At 58.4% G+C, this 21,777-nt stretch overlaps 1 protein-coding gene across 5 annotated transcripts in view, besides 6 other annotated features; it reads left to right on the forward strand.

Annotated features, from left to right (window-relative positions):
- The window catches only part of FAM20C (FAM20C golgi associated secretory pathway kinase), a 68,202-nt gene that overhangs the window by 1,477 nt on the left and 44,948 nt on the right, over positions 1-21,777 (forward strand). For 2 of the 5 annotated variants that reach the window (XR_007060116.1, NM_020223.4), the window contains exons 2-3: positions 1,507-1,685; positions 14,851-14,929. Coding sequence is in view for 2 of the 5 variants with exons in the window: in NM_020223.4 (NP_064608.2) it covers positions 1,507-1,685; positions 14,851-14,929 (258 nt within the window). In the remaining 3 variants the exon portion in view is untranslated. Of the gene's footprint in view, positions 1-1,506; positions 1,686-3,085; positions 6,637-14,850; positions 14,930-21,777 lie in introns of those variants that run through there. The other 3 variants (XR_007060117.1, XR_001744837.2, XM_047420625.1) reach the window with 2 other exon arrangements.
- Positions 1,301-2,278: an enhancer, noted in NCBI's record as "H3K27ac-H3K4me1 hESC enhancer chr7:195348-196325 (GRCh37/hg19 assembly coordinates)". NCBI's record gives its function as "activates a minimal SCP1, AML or CMV promoter by ChIP-STARR-seq in naive and primed H9 embryonic stem cells {active_cell/tissue: H9 hESC(naive and primed)}" and the evidence as "EXISTENCE:reporter gene assay evidence [ECO:0000049][PMID:30033119]".
- Positions 6,287-6,457: a silencer, noted in NCBI's record as "fragment chr7:200334-200504 (GRCh37/hg19 assembly coordinates)". NCBI's record gives its function as "represses an EF-1alpha promoter that drives an FKBP-Casp9 reporter gene in an ReSE screen in phorbol 12-myristate 13-acetate-treated (for megakaryocytic differentiation) K562 erythroleukemia cells {active_cell/tissue: K562(+PMA)}" and the evidence as "EXISTENCE:reporter gene assay evidence [ECO:0000049][PMID:32094911]".
- Positions 11,209-11,377: a silencer, noted in NCBI's record as "fragment chr7:205256-205424 (GRCh37/hg19 assembly coordinates)". NCBI's record gives its function as "represses an EF-1alpha promoter that drives an FKBP-Casp9 reporter gene in an ReSE screen in HepG2 liver carcinoma cells {active_cell/tissue: HepG2}" and the evidence as "EXISTENCE:reporter gene assay evidence [ECO:0000049][PMID:32094911]".
- Positions 12,036-12,685: an enhancer, noted in NCBI's record as "H3K27ac-H3K4me1 hESC enhancer chr7:206083-206732 (GRCh37/hg19 assembly coordinates)". NCBI's record gives its function as "activates a minimal SCP1, AML or CMV promoter by ChIP-STARR-seq in naive and primed H9 embryonic stem cells {active_cell/tissue: H9 hESC(naive and primed)}" and the evidence as "EXISTENCE:reporter gene assay evidence [ECO:0000049][PMID:30033119]".
- Positions 12,686-13,335: an enhancer, noted in NCBI's record as "H3K27ac-H3K4me1 hESC enhancer chr7:206733-207382 (GRCh37/hg19 assembly coordinates)". NCBI's record gives its function as "activates a minimal SCP1, AML or CMV promoter by ChIP-STARR-seq in primed H9 embryonic stem cells {active_cell/tissue: H9 hESC(primed)}" and the evidence as "EXISTENCE:reporter gene assay evidence [ECO:0000049][PMID:30033119]".
- Positions 20,162-20,739: an enhancer, noted in NCBI's record as "H3K4me1 hESC enhancer chr7:214209-214786 (GRCh37/hg19 assembly coordinates)". NCBI's record gives its function as "activates a minimal SCP1, AML or CMV promoter by ChIP-STARR-seq in naive H9 embryonic stem cells {active_cell/tissue: H9 hESC(naive)}" and the evidence as "EXISTENCE:reporter gene assay evidence [ECO:0000049][PMID:30033119]".

Here is a 21,777-nt window from a genome sequence, read left to right on the forward strand (position 1 = left end):
CCCCGCGCCCTTTAGAAGCGAGTCCTGACCAGCCGTGGTCACCAGCTTGGGAAATGGGGTCAGGCAATGAATGAATGAGTTGGTGAGGGAAGGAGCCAGGCTGCCGCTGGGCTTTCAGACACTTGGCGAGGGTGCTCTGGGTGGGCACCTTGGAGAAGGTCTGGATGTGCCTATTGAGTCTTTTAAACCCAGTGGCTGGAGCAGAATTATCAGAGGGGCTTGCTGGCAGCCGTGAGGTGCAACAAGGCGGCCCAGCCAGCAAGGGCGGTGGGTGTGCTGGCTGCAAAGAGATGATGGCTCGATAAAGGGCGAGAAGCCACGGCAGGAACCTCTCTTTAAACTGTCCTGGCTAAGCCCTTTCCCCACCCCCCGGCCCCTCCCTCCGCCACACAGATCAAAACAAGCAGATGCTACACCGAAGCAGTGGAACATTAACCACGACAAGGCCAGAATAAGTAACTACCTGCCGAAGGTTACCCCAGCAGCAGAGGGGGAGACCAGCCTTCCAAAAGATCTGGTTGAAAGTCCCTTCTTCCCTGAAATGTCCAGGCCCAGTGTCTTCTGTCTAAACACACTGGCTGTTTGGAAGCCTCTGAGCCTTGCCTGCTGGTCAGGTTCAAGGAAATGCTTGGAAATTTGAGAACCAGAGCATTGGCCTGGGCTGTGGCTCTCGGCAGGGAGAGACGGCCGCCCAGAGCAGCGAGTGGCCAGGAAGTGTATCCTAGCCCCCCACCCCGCCCCCGTGTCCACCGCAGGACAGAGCTTCGGCAGAAAGCACCTCAGCTTTAGGTGAATTCGAGCTAGGACAAGTTCCGCGTTTCCCTCCAGCCCAGCAGGCAGACGGAGGGTCTGTCCCTCCTCCAGAACGGTCCCTTGACCCCAGAGATGTGAGGACAGGCTGCGTGGGCGGCGGGTCCTCCATGGGAGCCTGGGCTGGAGAGAGTGCTGCCTCCTTCCTCTCTCCCCACCCAAGGCTGCTCTCATTAAAATCAAATTTAGCCTCTTGCATCATTGTGCCCCTGGTTGTTGGAACAAAAGCAGAGAGCTGGGGAAGGTTCCTGACAGACTGGGCGTGTCTGTGAGTTTCATGCAGCCTGTGGTCAATGGTAGGTTCTCCCCTCTACTCCAGGGGAGGGCCACAGCCCCTCGCACCCTCAGCTGAGGTCATGGTTGGGCCATTTCGGTGACCCTGGGACAGACGTGGCGGGGATGGCAGGGCAGCGCTGACGTCCTGGAATTAGTTTTGCTGTAGTTAGAGCTGTCTGTGGTGTCTCCAGAGGGTGAGTAAGAATTACAGGCCTTTCACCGTGTTATTAGTTGGCAGCCGAGCGGCCACAGAAGAAAGCGCAGACGTTGCAGGGCCCTCTTTAAGCAGAGGCGCCTTCAACACATCTGCACTTGCTTGAACCCAAAGTTAAAAACACTGGCGTCGGTGCCCTCTCCCCGTCATCCGACTCACGGGCCTGTTCTTTCCATGCTGATGTTCGTCCTCGCTGCTCCCTGCAGGCCGCATGCGGGTGCTGAAGGTGCAGAATTCCTCTCCCCCGGGGAGGCGGCCGTGGACTCCTATCCCAACTGGCTCAAGTTCCACATTGGTATCAACCGGTACGAGCTGTACTCCAGACACAACCCGGCCATCGAGGCCCTGCTGCACGACCTCAGCTCCCAGAGGATCACCAGCGTGGGTAGGTGTCCTTGGGTGCACTCAGGGCCGTCTGTGTGCCGGCTGTGTGGCATCAGGGCTGCTGGGGCAGGCTATGTGTTAGAGAGGTCTGGGAGGCCGTTGCTCATTACGGCAGCGTCACCTCCTGCAGCAATCTGCACGGGCAGCGAGGAGGGACAGAGGGCTCGCGTCTCGTGTGCTCTCACACTGGATGTGCTCCTGATCTGCCGCACGATGAGCGGGGAGACGCCTGGACAGCCGGTCCACTGCGCTCTGCGTCCTCACCTGGGTGGTCCCGGGGGTGCCAACTGGATGACAGAGTCCTTCCCTCCTGGGGTAGAGGAATAGAGGGGTATCTCTGGCGGCGGTGACCCCTCCACCGGAAGCGTGTGCATGGAACTCTCCTGCTTTTCTACACACGACCCTGGCTGGGTGGGGAGACAGCCATGAGCCTGCTTCTTGTGGTTTTGAAGCCGTCCTTCGTCAGACCTCAGCAAGGCGCTGTGCAGTTTCATACTGAGGAGACATAGGCAGGGCTCAGGACGGAGGCCTGGGCCTCCCAGATGGAGGAGTTTGAAGGCAACATCTCCAGGTACTTTGGGATCTGCTGAATTGGACAAAAAAGGGCATCCAGTTGCTGATTTCAGGAAAATATGCCACTGCAGCTTCTGAGCGTGGAGGTTTGGTGCCATTGTTCTCAGCTTGTAGGCGATTGTTTGTGAAGGTCCCATTTGTCACCAGTGCTTGGAGAGGTAGTGAGGGCGGGGCTGAGGCCCTTTAGTGGGAGCAGCTGCTCCCCGGGGATTGCAGGGAGTGGGCCTGGGTGCACACAGCTGTGGGCAGGTGCAGAGGCCATGACAGCCTGAAGGCAGGGCTTTCTTTGCGCTGTGTGATGAGGCCAGCAGTCCCAGGCATTAGCTTCATGTGTGTCTCAGAAGCAACCTTGGTGCTGAAAGGGTCCCAGCAGCCTGGGGTTCTGTCCAGTTGCTGACACAGGACTTAGGTGTCCCCTTTCAGGCCAGCAGGTAGGTTCTCCTGAGCTCTTCGGGGCTGTTTCTGGCTCTCTCTGCCGGGTGCTGAGTTGTTTGCTGGGCACTCACCTGGTCATGGGGAGACAGAACTTGCAGCTCTCTCCCCACCCCTTGATCAGCTCACCTCATAACAGAGATCAGCTGGACAAGCTGGGAGTCCTCTTCCCTCCATGCTGCCTGGGAGTAACCTGAACCCCTGCCCCCCTCCAGGCCCCCCTCCGTGAAAGCGCTGCCTTTCTCCTGCCCCTGCAGCGGTCTGAGGGCTTTCAGCTGTGCTGGGGAACAGTCCTGCAGACAGCCACAGCCAGAACGTCCCTTCTGCCCCTGAGAGTGAGCATGGCCATTAAGGAAATATCCGATGCATTGATCAACATGTTTGTCCATTCAGCAGATTTTACTGGCACCTCCTGCATGTCAGACCCCCTTTCTGGGTGGTGGGGAGTTGAGGATGAGTTCAGCCTCAACGAGATCTGCTGCCTCTGTGGACCTGACAGCCCCAGGAAGAGACACACACGCACAGTGCCCGATCCTGAGGAGGAACGAGCACTTCAGAGCCGTGCACGCCAGCCAGGCCGTGTGGAGAGGAGGGGGCTCCACTGGGAGGGGCTGAGGACCTTCCACAGGGTCTGTCGGGCAGCTTACCTTCCAGGTGGGTCCGTCTTGGCAGGGAGAGGAATGAGAGAGCCGTGCACACCAGCCAGGGCGTTCGGGAGGAGCAGCACGCAAGTTAGAAAGTCCCCAGTGCCGCTGTCCGTATGAGCTTCTCTCCAGCTCATTTTCCCCATCTGTCCAGTGGGATCTCGCTGCGTGGGACCAATGCAAGGATAGGATGAGATGTGCATGTGAGCAAGCTTGTTAAATATTAACTAGTACTTTGTGCGTGGCCTTCCACAACAGTCCCCTCGTGTGCACAGGCAGGGTCTGAGCAGAGGGAGGGCTTTGTGGATTCCAAAGGCCACCAGGCCCTTGGCAGGCAACTGCAGCTCGCCACCTCCCTCACCGACCGGTCAGCTTTCCAACACCAACACTGAAGAGGTGTGGGAGTTCTGTGCCAGGAGCTCCCAGAGCAGCTTCAGGGAGAGTGTGGGGCCCCCTGGGACCTGGGGCATCTTTGCCCACCTTAGGAGTGCTTTGTCCATCTGGACAAGCTAGGCTTGGCTCACTGCCACCCCTCTTTGGTCCAGCTGTCCCGGGGCAGTGGTGCCCAGGCTGCCTGACATTGCAGGGGTGTGGACAGAGCCCTTGCCAGGGAATCCCTACCCCAGGATTCTGGTGTGGCCTCCGCCTGGGTGTGTCCTGGTTAATTCCTGTGCCTACTGAAGGCCTGCCCCAGCTGATCTCGCTCGCTCGCCTCCTAGACCATGCTGGCCACATTGGTTCTCATCCAGTCTTCTGGGGTGGGGACCCGTCCAAGGACAGGCTGGCTGCTCAGTCATTCTGCAGGGCCAAGCAGGGCCTGCAAGGACGATGGGCAGACACAGCCGCATCACCCAGGCAGGACAGCAGGCTCTGGCCCAGGAGATCTGGGGGTGAATCCTGGCTCTGCCAGCCATTAGCCAGAGTGGAAGTGGGCAAATGGATTAACGCCTCCAGCACCTGGTTTCTCACCGAGAACACAGAGAAGGTTATAATCTGGACCTGGTATAATCTGGACTCTGACTTACAAATCTGAATGCCAAGCAAAACCCATTCACTAGCGAAAACTGACTCAGGCTGAACGTATTTAGGGGCAAAACCTAAATTGTCGAGGCTAGTTAAAAGTCCTGATTTTTCTCTGTTACATTGAATAGTCACATGTTCCTCTGAGGAACAGGAGTGGGTTTAATTATGGGGTTCTGCCCTAGACCCGTGTGGGCATGCCATGATCCACACCATGCACCACGTGTGCCTTTGTCATCGAAATACCTGCAGTTCCCAAATACATCTGGCCTCACAGGGTTGTTGGGGCTTAAATGTGCAAATACGAGTAAAGAGGTGAGAGCGGAGCCTGACAGCGCACCTGCTGGGCAGGGTCTCCAACACTGCAGCATTTTGGGGGAAGCTCTCCTACTGGGTGGGGTCTTTGTACAGCAGCAGCATTTCAAGGTGGGCTGATCCTTCTCATCTGGGGAAGCCAGGGCTGGGCAGGTGCCTGAGCCTCATGAGGGTCTCAGTCTAGATGCTGGGCCCTATTCTCCCTGCTGCCTTGGGCTTGGAGATGCTCACAGGTGAGTTCTCATTTGTGAAGAGGTCTGTCTTCCTGAGGAAGCAGGGGACCCTCACCTGTGAACCAAGTGTGCCATGGGAGCTGCTCCATGTCCAGGTCCAGGTCTCCTGGTCTGCAGGGAACGGCACAAGAGGGCTGGCCTAGGCCAGGAGGATGTGATCTGTCCTAGAAGGGGGCTGACCTGCTTGCTGACCCCGCTTGCTGCTGCCTGGCTGGCCTGACTCAGCCACGGCTGTTCCGAGGGCCCTTCTGAGTACGAACTTCCAGTTGGAGGATCTGGGTGAAGACCCAGCTGCTTGAGATAGCAGCCTCTGGCTAGGCCCTTGGCGTGGCCAAGCCAATCAGGCAGGTTTAGAGCCTGGTGCCCCTAGACAGGTCCTGCAACCAAGAACAGGGGTAGCCTTCAAAGGCCAGCCCTGCCTTCCAACCACCGCTCCACAGCGAGGGAAACCAAGGCTCTTAGGGCAGGAGGCTTGTCCGAGATTAGCACCTGCGTGCTCCAGGCTCTGAGTTCTGTCCCCTCAGCTGTCCGGCCCCTGGGTGCTCACTTTAATCTCAAGTCATTCATCTTACTATTAAACGTGAGCCCAGAAATATTGTTGTAATGGAGAACGATGCCTGCGAGTCTCCAAAGCCTTCCCTCGGAACGGTTCCATTAAATCTCTCCTGCTCAGAACCACCCAATCCAATTCATGGAGCGCCACGTGGTCTACAGCACAGCTGGTTAGGGCCAGCGGAGGTTTATTTATAGCTGGGCTCCTGGCTGCCTGGTAACCGGCCATTGCCACCTTTAAAGAGTCTTGGGATATTATCTACCTCTATTCAGCTTGAAATCGGGCATGCAGTGCCTTGGGCTGGGGCTGGCGATAATTAAATTTCTATCATGCACAATTATGGATGCAAAGAATGAATGACATCCCACTGGCATGTGAGGATTCGGGCAGCTTCTGGACTGAAATACAGACTTCATAATTGCTCCATCCAGATTGGGACAAAGACTGTGGTTGGGAGAACATGCCTGAACAAAGAAAAATGACTCTGCAGGACCAAAGTTCTTGACACTGATTGATCTGCCAAAAGGGGAAGAATGAGTCCAGCTAGAATCCAGGACTAACCAGCGGGTGAGCTTCAAGGAACAAAGGGCTTCCGCTGGGTCAGCCCACGAGAGGGAGCTGCCTGCAGGTACCTGGGAGGGCACAGCCACCGTGTCTGTTCCTTGGGAGCAGGGCTCCTTGGAAGGCAGCGCCAGCTCCAGAAAGGCCACTGTTCCCCCTCCCACCCACCCCAGGTGGCAACTGCCCCTGCAGGTCACGGTCCCAGGGCCTCGCTCGGCCGGCCTAGAGAGAGAAAAGGGAAGATGCCCAATTAGCTGGACGCCCATGGCCCCAGGGCTGGGGGACCTTGGGTTATCCTGAAAGAAGGACAATGACCACCTGCAAAGGACGATTTCAAGTGGAGCCTGGAGGAGGCGGCAAATAGCTCAGTCCGCACTCAACTCCCTTCCCAGCCGTCTGGTGGAAGGTGAGGAGCAAAAGCTCATGCTGCTGAGGCCTGGGGCCACCCAGGCACCGGCCTCCCCGTGCTGAGCAGAGACAGCAGCCCCCTAGCTGCAGGAGTGTGCCCCGATGCGCACCTGCCGACTTTCCTTCTGATGCAGACATGGTCCCCACTGGGGCAAGGCTGCAGTTTTCTTTTAAAAAACAGATCTTTCAAAATAAAAGGGGCCTTGAAGAAAATCGTGGAATAAATAACAGTCTGGGGTGGAGGCGGTTCTGGCGAAAGTGTCCTGAGGGTGGTGTGTGATGGACGGGACTTTGGGCAGTGCTGATGGGGCCTTGCCTGTCACTTGAGGCCTCCAGGAGAGTCGAGGACTGGCAGATCCAGGTCCAGAGCAGGTGCAGGCTCCCAGCTCTTCCAGCCCCTTACCTCGCAGTAGGTTCCCACAGTTCTAGCCTCCTTGATGCCAGCCCCAGGGTGCCCACTGCTGGCCAACTATGTCCTTTTCCTCAAAACCAGGTCCCTCGGTGCCCAGGGTGAATGGGTATATGAGCCTGGGTGTGGGCACCCGGGGTCTGGGACACCGAGCAGACCTCTCTGGCTTGGAGATGTGTGCGGTGGGAAGAACAGGGTGACCTGAGCTCTCCCGGTGTCACATTCTCCACATCTGAGCCCTCTTTGGGTGAGGCCCTACTTCCAGCACACACAGCTGTCCCCATTCGTCTTCAGGAATAACTGACCCTTGAGGCCAGACAGTGGCTGTGAAGAGCAGGGGGACCGCCTGACCGTGACCCCCAAGGACAGACGCTGGCCCTCTTGACGGACGAGATGACCAGGGCCAAAGGCGGCAACATGGGGGCCCACGCTGACGGCAGCATCTCACACCTGGATGTGTTTCTGTGGTCCACAGGTCTGTAGGAGGTGGAACTGGTTAATTTAAAGTCAGGTTGGGGTTGTTGTTAGAAAGGGTTCCTGCTCCCACGAGAAACCAAGGATGAGTGGTGGCTGCACCCAGTCTCCATCCCCATGAGCACCCTGCGGGGTGTTGGGACCCCCAGGCCCGGGCCACACACCTCTCTCTTTCAGGGCCGTCTCTCCCTGTCTCTCCAGACCTGCTCTGGGTTCTTCCTTCTAGAGCTTCCCAGTGGGTTGCCGGAGCTGTCTGGGGTTATGTGGCTTGCCTAAGGCCACACCGATTGGGGCCTGGCACCAAAGTCCATTAGTATTTCTGTGACAGCAGCCATCTTTCTATGTAAGACGCTTATTTCATAAGAAATGCCAGCATCTCTTGGAGTCCTTCTGAGGAGGCAACTGCATACGAACATCGCCTCTGTCTCGTGCTGTGACCCGGGGAGAGACTGTGGGCAAAACCCAGTGGCGTCCGAGGGTCTGTGTGGCCCCGAACTCTTAGTGCTGACAGCAACATGAAATAATGAAGGCACAGGGCACTCTGTTCGTGCATGTTAACTTGTGTAACTAGTGCACGTTAATCACATTAACTAGCCATGTTAACTAGTGACGTAGATTAATAATGATGAATCAATAGGAATGAGTCCTGTATACTGACGGATATCCGGGCGATAGGATTCTTCAGCGAGGCCGGGGAAGAAGCAGACTGTCACCTTTGGTCTAAAGTTGGTGGGTTAAGTGGTGGGAGGTGCTCAGGGCAGGTGGCAGGAAGGGGAGAGCGTTCCAGATGGGGAGAACCTATTTGAAAGGCAGTGGACATCTTCCCATGTGCATAGAGAGGACGGGTGGCCACTGGGCGAGATTGCACTGGGGAATGGGGCTTGTGGACATCTTCCCGTGTGCATAGAGAGGACAGGTGGCTGCTGGGTGGGATTGTACTGGGGAATGGGGGGGCCCTATGGATATCTTCCAGTGTGCATAGAGAGAATGGGTGACTGCTGGGTGAGATTGCACTGGGGAATGGGGCCCGTGGACATCTTCCTGTGTGCATAGAGAGGACGGGTGACTGCTGGGTGGGATTGTACTGGGGAATGGGGGGGCGCTATGGATATCTTCCCATGTGCATAGAGAGAATGGGTGGCTGCTGGGTGAGATTGCACTGGGGAATGGGGCTTGTGGACATCTTCCCGTGTGCATAGAGAGGACGGGTAGCTGCTGGGTGGGATTGTACTGGGGAATGGGGGGGCCCTATGGATATCTTCCAGTGTGCATAGAGAGAATGGGTGGCTGCTGGGTGAGATTGCACTGGGGAATGGGGCCCGTGGACATCTTCCCGTGTGCATAGCGAGGACGGGTGGCTGCTGGGTGGGATTGTACTGGGGAATGGGGGGGCCCTATGGATATCTTCCAGTGTGCATAGAGAGAATGGGTGGCTGCTGGGTGGGATTGCACTGGGGAATGGGGCCCGTGGACATCTTCCTGTGTGCATAGCGAGGACGGGTGGCCATTAGAGCAGTGCAGACGGGACCTGTTTCCAGAAGAAGGACTGAACTGACCAGATTTGCATGATATGTTTTTATTGCACTGGGAATTGGGGCCTAGAGGCCCACTGGGGTTTGATTGTGCTGTTGGTTTCATGATGGCCTGGATTTCAGGGGAGGGGCAGGTGTAGAGGGAGATGGAGGGAAGGTGGTAGGTGGGAGAGGGCTTAGCAGGTGAGTCTCTGAGACTTGTCCACGGTGTGGGGTGACTTTGGGGTCTGTGCCAGGATGCCCCCGCCTCAGCCGGCTTCATGGGCATCAGAGGGATCAGCTCTCAGTGGGTCCCTCCCCAGGCTGGGGTTGGGCAGGCTCTGACTGACCCCTGTCCACTGGAGGCACGGGAGGCTGCATCTGGGAGGGCGTCTCCGTCAGTCCCGTCCCCAGGACCTGTGCCCACACGCCTGGGCTTCTCCCACCAATGAGGTGAGCTTTCCAAGCATCGTGAACTTTGGTCTATCTTCAAGAAAACCCAAAATTGCACCTTTTTTTCAAGGCCTGGCCTGTGTCCTGGCTCTGCCACCTGCTGGCCCCTTCCTGGGTGGGAGGGCAGGGGTGACCCGATCAGTGACAGGAGGGTGGGCGTCTGTACCTCCCACCCATCCCGATGAGCACCGAAGGCCTGAGACGCAGGGCAGCTTGTGTGTCGGTCTTTGCAAGGAGACTGTATCTGATTTTAGAGCAGAATTCCAAATGTCTTTCAGCAGAAGACCCACTTGGTAGACTGAGTGGTGGGCCCACGGTCCACAGGAAGCCGAGTCCTCAGTCGCTGTGAGATCTTCATGCCTTTAATTTCTAATTGTTTATTTGCTCCATGGGGAGGAGCTGGCCTCACAGCTGAGCACAGGGGCCAGGAAGATAGGACCTGCTTCCAGACGAAGAAGGACTGAACTGACCAGATTTGGATAATATGTTGTTATTTTACAAACCGGGATTACAAGCCCTGGAAGGAGCTGATGAGCTGTCGCACCTGAGCCAGGAAGGAACTGTTAAATCCTGTGACCCCAGTTACTAATGGAAATGGGGGCATCAAATGGGGCTTAATCCGGCTACTAATTTTCTCATCGTCACTTCGTTATTATCTTACTAAAAAATGTAGTCACTATTCATTGCAGAAACTTAGAAAGCACAGTTAAGGAAAAAACAGAAAACTAAAGTCAACCACGGTTTTACTTTTGGGAGAAAACTACCAAGCTTCAGGCGCCCATCCGTGCATCCCAGGTTAAAAATCCGTGCAGTGTATTCAGAAGAAAATGGTTATGGCGTCTAAGTTTTTAATAGGCTGCTTTGCTTACTGGTAAAATCATACGCTGTTTGCTGTCATTGAAAACCCCCCGGTACCCGGTGAGAAGCCGGGATGGAGCCCGTTTACGGAGCCTCGAGCTGCTGGCCCGCCTGAGGCTGGCGTTCAGGTTCTGTGCAGTGTTTTGGAGAGAAATGAGATTCGTTGCTGCTTCCTTCACCTGAGGAGGGCACGGCCTCTGAGAGTTTCACCAGCAGACCTGACTGCGCAGTGGTCCAGGGCACTGAGCCCAGCCCCAGTCTTGACCATGGCCTGTCAAACGTGGTTCCTGACAGGGTAGTGGCTGGAGCAGACGCTGCCTGGAGGGAATGGGCACGTGACCCGGGGTGTGAGCTGTGAGCTCAGGGGCAGCAAGAGCCATCAGAAATGGGGAGGGCACGTGGCGCTTGAGTGGCCATCGCTGTGGAGAGCCCCCACACTGCGGCTGTTCTCAGCACTCAGGGAAGAGACACGGCACTCGCGTGGCCTTTGCCGTGGTGAGCGCCCACACTGCCGCTGTTCTCAGTGTTCAGGGAGGGGAAGTGGCACCTGTGTGGCCCTGGCCATGGTGAGTCCCCACATTGCCACTGTTCTCTGTGCTCAGGGAGGGAATGTGGCACTCGTGTGGCCTTCGCTGTGCTGTGTCCCCACACTGCCGCTGTTCTCAGTGTTCAGGGAGGGGAAGTGGCACCTGTGTGGCTCTGGCCATGGTGAGTCCCCACACTGCCGCTGTTCTCGGTGCTCGGGGAGGGGACGTGGCACTCTTGTGGCCCTTGCCGTGGTGAGCCCCCACGCCACTGCTGTCCTGAGCACTCACAGCATTGCCCCCATGTAGTCCTAAGGGTGGTCCTGGATGAGGCGTGTCACCCCCATTCTGCAGGAGCAGCCGAGTTTCTGGCAGGTCACATGAGGCACCACCGTACTCACCAGGACCCTGGAAAGGAGGCGGGACAGGCGTCCACGTCCTGAGCCCCATTGTTTTCTAGAAACAGGGTCTCTGTTGCCCAGGCTGGTCTTGAGCCCCTGGCCTCAAGCAGTCTTCCCACAGCCTCCCGAGTAGCTGGGACCACAGACACGCACCACCACGACGTCAGCCTCCCGAGTAGCCGGGACCACGGACACGCACCACCACGACGTCAGCCCCCCGAGTAGCCGGGACCACGGACACGCACCGCCACGACGTCAGCCTCTGAGTAGCTGGGACCACGGACACACACCACCACACCAGTTAATTTTTTAATTTTTTGGTAGAGATGGGGTCTTGCTATGTTGCCCAGGCTGGTCTCAAACACTCGGCCTCGAGCAAGCCTCCTGCCTCAGCCTCCAAAAGTGCTGGGATTTCAGGCATGAGCCGCCGCACTCGGGCACTGGGCCCCATTTAACAGGAGGGGAGGGGCGGGAGGTGCAGACCCCTCAGAGACACCGCAGGAGGCCGAGCACACTGCCCTGAGGTCGCGTCGGAGCCCGTCGACGGTTTCTGTGGCTGCGCCGGGCTTGGGATCCATCTCCCTCCTGCCTGGGGCCAGTACCAGCTCCTCCCTTGTGCCCAAGTGAAGCCCTGTGGATGGTGGGGACTCTGCTTTCTCGTCTGCGCCCTCCCCCGTGCTCCTGGCCTTCCTGGAGGATTCAGTGTCCTCGGGAAGCATCCACGGCACCCCCAGGCCCCCCACGAAGCCCGCTGTCCTCACGCTGACCCTCCCTCCCAGCCAGCCGCCACCTGAGACCTCGGTTCCTCTGGGTCAGTTCTTCCCGTCTGAAGGGAGTATCCTGAGCTTTCTTCCACCAAACCTACAAACCCATCTGCAGGCAGCTCCCCCATCCCGCCATCTCCTGCAGGGCTGGGCCCTCCCCGAGCTCCACGCCCTCAGCACACGCGCGTGCCCTCCAGCCACGTGGAGGAGCCGTGAGGTCCCTGGAGCGTCTCCGTCATCCCAGGCTGGCTGGGTTCCGTCTTCCTTCCATGACATTCCCTCTCTGGCCGTCCCCCTGCTCCACATCCCACGTCACTCCACCAGATACCTCTCAGATCCTCAGATATTTCTTGGATTTTTCCATTTTTCCATCTTCCTCCAAACCACCACCGTCTCCTGCAGCTGCCGCAGCCCCAGCCTCTCCCACCTCCAGTGTCCACCGTTGGCTCCAGGGCAGCAACAGCAGCCAGGGACAATCTGTGTGGGGCCCTCATGCCCTGCTGCCCCACGCTGGCCGCCCTTCCCTTTCCCTGGGACCCCCTGAGACCTGCTGGCTCACCAGCCCCCATCCCACCTTTGCACCCTCCCGTGCACTGTGATGCGTTGGCCCTGGTCCCCTCGGCCCTGCACACGTGTCCACTGTGACGCGTCTGTCATGGTCCCCTCGGCCCTGCACACGTGTCCACTGTGACGCGTCGGTCACTGTCCCCTCAGCCCCGCACACGTGCTCACTGTCCACTGTGACGCGTCTGTCATGGTCCCCTCGGCCCCGCACACGTGTCCACTGTGACGCGTCGGTCACTGTCCCCTCGGCCCCGCACACGTGCTCACTGTCCACTGTGACGCGTCTGTCATGGTCCCCTCGGCCCCGCACACGTGCTCACTGTCCACTGTGACGCGTCTGTCACGGTCCCCTCGGCCCCGCACACGTGTCCACTGTGACGCGTCGGTCACTGTCCCCTCGGCCCCGCACACGTGTCCACTGTGAGGCGTCGGTCACGGTCCCCTCGGCCCCGCACACGTGTCCACTGTGACGCGTCGGTCACTGTCCCCTCGGCCCCGCACACGTGTCCACTGTGAGGCGTCGGTCACGGCCCCCTCGGCCCCGCACACGTATCCACTGTGAGGCGTCGGTCACTGTCCCCTCGGCCCCGCACACGTATCCACTGTGACGCGTCGGTCACTGTCCCCTCGGCCCTGCACACGTATCCACTGTGACGCGTCGGTCACTGTCCCCTCGGCCCCGCACACGTGTCCACTGTGACGCGTCGGTCACTGTCCCCTCCGCCCTGCACACGTATCCACTGTGAGGCGTCGGTCACGGTCCCCTCGGCCCCGCACACGTATCCACTGTGAGGCGTCGGTCACTGTCCCCTCGGCCCCGCACACGTGTCCACTGTGACGCGTCGGTCACTGTCCCCTCGGCCCCGCACACGTGTCCACTGTGACGCGTCGGTCACTGTCCCCTCGGCCCCGCACACGTATCCACTGTGAGGCGTCGGTCACTGTCCCCTTGGCCCCGCACACGTGCTCACTGTCTCCTTCAGGGCCCGAGTTTGCTCTGCTTCCTCTGCTGGGTCATGCCGTCCTCTGTGGGGCCGGGGCCAGCCCTGCCCCTCGCTCCGAGAGCAGCTCAAATGTTAGCTCCCTAGGGAGGCTGCTCCTGAGCTGCGCCCAGGGCCCCCGCCCCGCTTCCCTCTTCCCCTTTGCACCGGAGCAGTCGCATATGCCACCCCACCACGTTCCATTTACGTCTGTGCCGGCAGGGATGCCCGGCTCTTGTTCGGGCCCGTGATGTTGACGTGTGACCAGTCCCTGGTGTGGCCCCGTGAGGCCCCCTCACACCAGACAATCCCCCGCGTGGCCCGGACCTACCGGTCCACAGCGCGTGACAATCTCCCATCTCGGGCGACCTGGAGGCCCTCGCTGTGGCCAGCTTAGCTCCCGGGGCTGCCCCAGGCCGAGGCCAGCCCCTTCCCTGCTGTGGGAACCCCCCGGAGCCCCCTTCCTTCTCCACCAGCAAAAAGGAAATCCCGAGGTGGTGGGAGGAGGGTCCCATTGGGAGTTCTTGAGCCTCCTGGTGGCCAAAGCTGGAGGGAGGCTACTGGAGGCTTCCACACCCCAGCGAGTCCTTGCGGAGCGGCGGGAGCTGCCTCGCATGAGACAGGTGCTTTCAGCCCCAGGTCTCCCCAAAGTCACCCTGCTCAGGTTGCTTGTAGCTCCCCAGAAACGCGGGCGGGAGGTGCCACTCCCCGTTCTTAGGCAGGGGCAGGGGGGTGCGTGGGTGTGTGTGGTCGTGCAGGGGTATGTAGGGGTGTGTCGGGGGGTGTCTGTGGGTGTGTAAATGTAGGTTGGTGTTTGTTGGTGTGTAGGTGTGTGCTGATGTGAGTGGGTGTTTGAGGTGTTGCCTGCAGGTAAGCACACCTGGCCGTCCCGTCGAGATTAGGCCCTTGTGTCTGTGGGTGTGTAGGTGTGTGTTGTGTGTACTGTAGGGTGTGGTGTGTGTAGGTGTGTATGGGTATGTACATGACTGTGGGGTGTGTGCTGATGTGTGTGGGTGTATACGTGTGTGTCCAGGTAAGCACACCTGGCCGTCCCTTCTAGGAGTCAGGCCCTGTGTCTGTGGGTGCATGTGTGTGAGTGTATGTAGGTGTGTGTGATGTGTAGTGTGTGGGTGTGGTGTGTGTACATGGGTGTGGGTGTGTACATGGCTGTGTGGGGTGTGTGCTGATGTGGGTGGCTTATACGTGTGTGTCCAGGTAAGCACACCTGGCCGTCCCTTCTAGGGGTCAGGCCCTTGGGTCTGTGGTCAGCATGGAGAGATCTACCCCAGTACTCAACCCTGAATATCAGGCAGAGAATCCATCAGCCAGGCGAGAGCTTCACTGCAGAAAACTCAAACTTCCCAGGCAGAGTGGGACCCCTGGACCATGCCCAGAGGACCCGGATTGCAGCCAAGAGCCCTCGTCCGCACAGGAGAAGAAGGGGCGTGAGGCCAGAGAGTGACCCTGTTTCTCTCCCTCCTTCCTGCAGCCATGAAGTCGGGGGGCACGCAGCTGAAGCTCATCATGACCTTCCAGAATTACGGGCAAGCGCTGTTCAAACCCATGAAGTAAGTGCCGAGGCCTGTGGGCTGGGGCGTGAGGAGCTGGAGCTGCAGGCGAGCAGGCGCCGGGCTTCTGCTGGGGATGGCCGTGTCTCCTCCCAGGGTGTTTTGGGGAGACTGTGGGTGACCACTCTCAACTCTCCCCGTCATGGCAAACGAGCAACAGAGGTGGCCTCATTTTCTCTCCTCTCCCACGGCCTCCCCACCTCCTCCCTTTTTATAGGACGGAAAACCTACTGCTGGTTATTCTTACCCTGTGAGAATAAGCATTTGTATTTTAAACAAGTAACCTGGAATGTGAACACCAAAGAATGCCTCTCTGGAAGAGGTGACGTCCGCACCTTCCCAGCAGGCCTCCGGAGCCCGCACACCTTTGCTACAAAGGGCCGGACGCAGCTATTTCAGGCTTTGCAGGTGTATGGTCTCTCCCTACTATTCAGCGGGTGGTCCTAGCCCCAAAGCAGCCAGACGCAGTACGTGGTGATGGGGGAGGCTGAGTTCTAATAAGTCTTCATTTATGCAACAAAATGGGCTGGATGTGGTCCAGTGGACAGTGTGCCCTGATCTGGATAAAATAGAAACTGTGTCAGTCACCAAAACCGATAACACAGCGCTCCGTGGCACGCGACAGCTCGTGGTGAGGGGTGTGTGGACACCTGGCCACCCCAGGAAGGCTGCTGGGCTGGGTGGGGTCTGTGGCAGGCGTCCCACAGGAAGGGGCCAGCGGCCTGTCAGCTCACTAGATCTTGGCCATCTGGCCTGATTTCCAACTTTCTAGAGAAGCCAGAAATATGGATTTTTTTTTCCTGTTTTAATCTTGGTGGTAACTAATTCAGAAGCTCTTCATATACTTTGCAGGTAAAACAAAATATAGCTGCCTGCTTGCAAGTTGTGGCTGGAGGCAGATGTTTGCAGCTGGGCTCGGTTTCTGGGCCTCTCATTTCTCTGGACAGATGTCCTGGAGGGACTCGACCGAGGGAGGTGGCCCTGCCCCGGTCTTCCCCCAAGACCCACGAGTCCTGCCTCAGACCCGGGGCTGCCGGGAGCCGGTGGATGAGTCACAGCCCCGTGCCTGAGCCCGGGCCGAGGGCATCCCCGCTCACACGCTCACACAGGGCCGGGGAGCAGCCGTTCACCAAAATTACACGGAGGCCATCAGAGCTCAGGGCCTGGGGCTGAGGGCTGCTACCAGGGGTGGGATGAACGCACGGGAGCTGATCCGCTGCCCCCACGGGTCTCACGGCCCAGCCCTGCGGGGGGCCTGAGATCACAAGCACTTCCTTCCCCGTTTCTGTGCGTGGATGTGAAACTCAGCCTCCTTGGGCCTCTCGTGGCCTCTGCCCCGGTTGAGGAGGCTCAGCCAGGAGAGATGGCGTCGCCCGGAGACCTGAGGGTCTCCTGGGTTACGTGAAGGAGCTGTTTGAAGACCCCTCCTTTCAGGATGCTGTGGTGTGGAGCCGGGGGTGGGCAGGAGACAAATGAGCCTGGGCAGCTTCCCCTGGTGCTGCGTGGACCCTTCCGCTGGCAGTAATGGGAGTGGAATAGTCGCTGAATGGCGGCGTCTTCATCTCCCTTGAGCTGGCTTCGAGCCGCGGGCACGGCTGGGGGAGGCAGACTCCCGCCTCCCACCTGTGGGAGCATTTTTCAGCCTCGCAAATGTTTCCAGGTTCATTCAGGAGCATCCCCTGGAGGGGTGGCCCCGTCACGCCGAGCTACGGGACCTTGAGTGCTGTGTCCCGTCCGCAGAGAGCAGAGTGTTCCTGGGCGCCAGCTTGTCCGGCCCCTATTTCATGGTCCGTGTGAATCCTCAGGCCCCGTTTCTCATCTCTGAGGAGGTGGAAAGTGCAGCTGTGGTTGGAGAACGGTGACATTTACCGAGCCGCTGCTCTAACCCAGGCCCTGCGGGAACCGGCGTCTCGTGGGCACTCGGTAGCTGTGGGCCCGGCCTGTGCTTGGGGTTTATATACAGAAGCCTTTATGTTTGTCCATCCTCACATAGCCCTGTGAGTTATAGGAGGTGACGCTTACCGCTGCGTAAAGACGAGAGAACTGGGGTTTAGAGAAGGAAAGTAGAGACCCTCCTGGACCAGGATCCAGTGTCCCCTTAAGCCCAGGGTGCGCGACCTACCCTCCGCCTCCCCCAGCCTTCTCCCTTCCTCCTCCCCCGTCAGCCTCCCCTGGGCCTCCTCCCAGCCTCCGCCAACCTCCCCCAACCTCCCTCAGCCTCCTCCAACCTCCCTCAGCCTCCCCTCGGACCTTCCCATGCCTTCCCTGGACCTCCCCCCAGCCTCCTCCACCCTCCCAGCCTTTTCTGAGCCTCCCCTTAGACATCTCCCAGCCTCCTCCCAGCCTCCCCACAACCTCCCGAAACCTCCCCCAGACCTCCCCCAGCCTCTTCCAACCTCCCGGCCTGCCCCCAACCTTCCACCTCACCTCCTCCACCTCTTCCTCCCCAGGCCTCCCCAAACCTCCCCAGCCCCCCACCGTGATGGGCACCCCACGTCCCCAGCGTGGCCACATGAGGGGCTGACCTTAGAGGTCAGGGGACCTCCCATGGTCCTGCAGCGGGCAGAGGTGGCGCCAGGCTCCAGAGCCCCCTCCCTAGGACCCGTTTGTCAGGGCCCTGCCATCCCAGCTTGCCTGAAGGCCGAGGCTGCTGACGGATGGGCTGGGCAGGGCTGTGCTGTCACCCGGGGAGGCCAGTGTGACGCGTGGGCTAAGCGGGGAGGTGGGGGCCGGGTTACAGCATAGCCAGGAAACAGGCCTGAGAAGCCTGCTGCAGTTGGGGAAACTGAGGCCCGGAAAGGGAAAGGATACGTCCAAGGCCGTGGCGTCCAGAGGCTGGTCCGGGACTCCGTCTTCCCACAGGGCACGTGGCGGGCGGAGGCAGGGACCCCACACCTCAGGCGGGCGGGCGTGTGCGAACCTTTTGCAAACCTCCCAGCTCGGTCCTCTCACCGCCGCCCCCCAGGTCAGGTTAGGGCGTTGGCTGGTGCCCGACCCTCCTTTGCAAACCAGGGGGCCTGGATCTGTCATTGATGGAGGTCCTGCAGCCAGTGGCGCCCCTGATGACCTATGGGGGCTGTGCCCAGGGCCTGGGGGATGATCGTTTCTTCTTCCGCAGAGGCTGTGGTTTGCATACGAAAGCAGCTGTGGTTCATGACCATAGCATTAATGAGTTAAAATCCATGATTAATAGTTCTCTTTAAAGGCCGGGCACACTGGCTCGCAGCTGTAATCCCAGCACTTCGGGAGGCCGAGGCTGGCGGATCATTTGAATCCAGGAGTTCAAGAGCAGCCTGGCCAACATGGTGAAACCCCATCTCTACTAAAAATATAAAAATTAGCCGGGTGTGGTGGTTTGTGCCTGTGATCCCAGCTACTCAGGAGGCTGAAGCAGGAGATTCGCTTGAACCTGGGAGGTGGAGGTTACAGTGAGCCGAGCTGACGCCACTGCACTCCAGCCTGAGGGACAGAACAAGACTCCGTCTCAAAAAAAAAAGTTTTCTTTAGTAAAGGACTTTGCTCTCTGCGCTCATCACGGCTCGGTGAGTTCCTAGTACAACGTCGTGAATTAGAGAGCACAGTGTTTCTCCTCCGAGGTGCTAGATGTGCGGTGAGAGGGTGTAGGTGAGGGGCCGGCGGTGAGGTGGGGGCCAGCCTGGGGTGCTGCACAGCGTGTGGGGGGCGGGATCACCAGGGGAAGTTTTAGGGTCTCCGTTTCTAATAGTCGCTGAAAAGCACGTAGCCGGCACATCAACCCAAGCGCTCCTGGGTGCTTTTGCTTTAGGGTTACGTTAAGATATTTACGTTCTTTTTTTAAAGTCAGCTTTATTGAGATATAATTCACAAGCCATGCGATTCACCCACTTAAAGTGTGCAGCTTGGGGGCTTTCGGCTCAGAACTGTGCGTTCATCACCGCAGTTGATTTTAGCCCGTTTTCCGTGACTCCACAGAGAAATCCTTCGCCATTCTGTCATCACTCCTCAACCCCCTTGTCCGCCTCCAGCCCCCGTCAAGCACTAGCCTACTTTCTGCTTCTTGATATTCATAAGTTACTTATTCTGGATTTTCATACAAATGGAATCACGCACTGCGTAGTCCTTTGTGAGTGACACGTTTCCAAGGCTCTGGAGTCCTGCAGTGTGTAGTCCTTTGTGAGTGACATGGAGGGCTGTGGAGTCCTGCAGTGTGTGGTCCTTTGTGAGTGACATGGACGGCTGTGGAGTTGTGCAGTGTGTAGTCCTTTGTGAGTGACATGGAGGGCTGTGGAGTTGTGCAGTGTGTAGTTCTTTGTGAGTGACATGGAGGGCTCTGGAATCCTGCAGTGTGTGGTCCTTTGTGAGTGACACGTTTCCAAGGCTCTGGAGTCCTGCAGTGTGTAGTCCTTTGTGAGTGACATGGAGGGCTCTGGAGTTGTCCACTGCGTAGTCCTTTGTGAGTGACACGTTTCTGAGGCTCTGGAGTCCGGCATTGCATAGTCCTTTGTGACTGACACGTGGTTCCAACGCTCATCGGTGCTGCAGCACGCATAGGTGCCTCCCTGTTTTTCATGGCTAAGTAATATTCCAAGGTGTGGCTGTTCATTCTTTCCTCTGTTGACGGGCATTTGAGTTGTTTCCGCTTTTGACAATCAAGGATAATGTTGCTTTGAGCAACCGTGTATGAGGTTTTGCAGGGCAGGTATTTTCAGCTCTCTTGGATGTATTCTGGGGAGCAGTTGCCGGATCACGTGATAACTGCGTTTAACTGTTTGAGGAACTGACTGTCCGTTTTCTGCAGCGGCTGCACCATTGTGTAACCCTGCGAGCTCGTTCCCGGGTTCCAGTTTCTCCACCTCCTCGTCAGCGTGTGCTGTTGTCTGGCTTTTTGATGACGGCCGTCCCGGTGGGGGTGGAGGGGGGTTTTGTGGTGGTTTTGACTTGCACGTCCCGGTGACTAATATTGGAGTGTCTTTCCATGTGGGCACGGGCCATTGACGTGTCTTCTTTAAAGAAATGTCTATTCAGAGCTTTTGCCATTTTGTTCAGTTGGGGTATTTGTCTTTTTGTTACTAAGTTTTAAGACGTCTTGGCCAGGCACAGTAGCTCACGCCTGTAATCCCAGCACTTTGGGAGGCCGAGGCAGGTGGATCATCTGAGGTTGGGAGTTCAAGACCAGCCTGACCCACATGGTGAAACCCCGTCTCTACTAAAAGTACAAAATTAGCTGGGCGTGGTGATGCATGCCTGTAATCCCAGCTACTCGGGAGGCTGAGGCAGGAGAATCGCTTGAACCCGGGAGGCGGAGGTTGCAGTGAGCCGAGATCACGCCACCGCACTCCAGCCTGGGCAATAAGAGTGAAACTCGGTCTCAAAAAAAAAAAAATCTTTACATGTTCTAAATACAAGACCTTTACCACATATGTGGTATCATGTGAAGGACAAGCTTAATTTTAGGACGTCCAATTTAGTTACTTTTGTTATTCTCGTGCTTTTGGTGTAATTACGTTTGAATGCTGAAAGCACGTGTGTTAGGCGAAGAGTGGTGCGGGAGGCGGTACCTGCACTTGGCACGGTCAGCGGAACGGTGCGGCTTTAGGAAACACCACGTAGCCACAGAGCGACGGGCCTGGCGTAGCCACTGTTGCTGTTTGACCTGACTGAGTGCCCTCACCTCCTGGAACTCAGCGTACCCATCTGTCAACAAGGGCGTTGGAAGAAGAGGTCTCAGGCGCTTGCAGGGCTGAACCCTTTTGACCTGGCCTAGGAGACCCGGCACTGGCTTTCCAGCTTGGAGAAGTGGGGGACTGAGCATGGGTTTGAGTCCGGTGGACGCACCCAGCAGGCTGTTGGCTACAAATTCCATCTTGCGTCTTGGAAAGAAGCTTCCAGGCATGCGGCGGCTGCCCATGACACTGGCTGTGACCACCTCCAGGTAGAAATATTCATTTAGTCATTCCACAAACTCGGAGTGCCGGGCCTGGCCTCCCGCCAGGCACTGGGAACACAGATGTGACTCAGACTCGAAGCCTGAAGGTGGTCTGACCTCTGGACGTGGGGAGGCCCAGCCACAGGTGCTGCCTAAACACTCCTCGTCACTACACTCTCCTATGCTCCACGGGAGACAGGCAGCTACGTGTGTCCAGTCTCCCAAAGTGGCCCAGGAGGACAGGGCGTGGTTAACAGTGGGAGTTATGTACAGAGTGAAAGAGAAATGTACAAAAGAGGCGGAGTGAGCGAGTGAGCACCGTACCACAGAGTTTAGAGGCTCCAGCTGGGGGGGGGAGCAGGGCCCCTGGTGTATGGAGAGGATGGAGCTGGGTGGGGGGAGCAGGGCCCGTGGTGTATGGAGAGGATGGGGCTGGGTGGGGGGGGCAGGGCCCGTGGTGTATGGAGAGGATGGGGCTGGGTGGGGGGAGCAGGGCCCCTGGTGTATGGAGAGGATGGGGCTGGGTGGGGGGAGCAGGGCCCGTGGTGTATGGAGAGGATGGGGCTGGGTGGGGGGAGCAGGGCCCCTGGTGTATGGAGAGGATGGAGCTGGGTGGGGAGCAGGGCCCCTGGTGTATGGAGAGGATGGGGCTGGGTGGGGGGAGCAGGGCCCCTGGTGTATGGAGAGGATGGGGCTGGGTGGGGGGAGCAGGGCCCGTGGTGTATGGAGAGGATGGGGCTGGGTGGGGGGAGCAGGGCCCCTGGTGTATGGAGAGGATGGAGCTGGGTGGGGAGCAGGGCCCCTGGTGTATGGAGAGGATGGAGCTGGGTGGGGAGCAGGGCCCCTGGTGTATGGAGAGGATGGGGCTGGGTGGGGGGAGCAGGGCCCGTGGTGTATGGAGAGGATGGGGCTGGGTGGGGGGAGCAGGGCCCCTGGTGTATGG

Source organism: Homo sapiens, chromosome 7, assembly GCF_000001405.40.
Source record: "Homo sapiens chromosome 7, GRCh38.p14 Primary Assembly".
In the NCBI taxonomy this organism is placed as follows: Eukaryota; Metazoa; Chordata; class Mammalia; order Primates; family Hominidae; genus Homo; species Homo sapiens.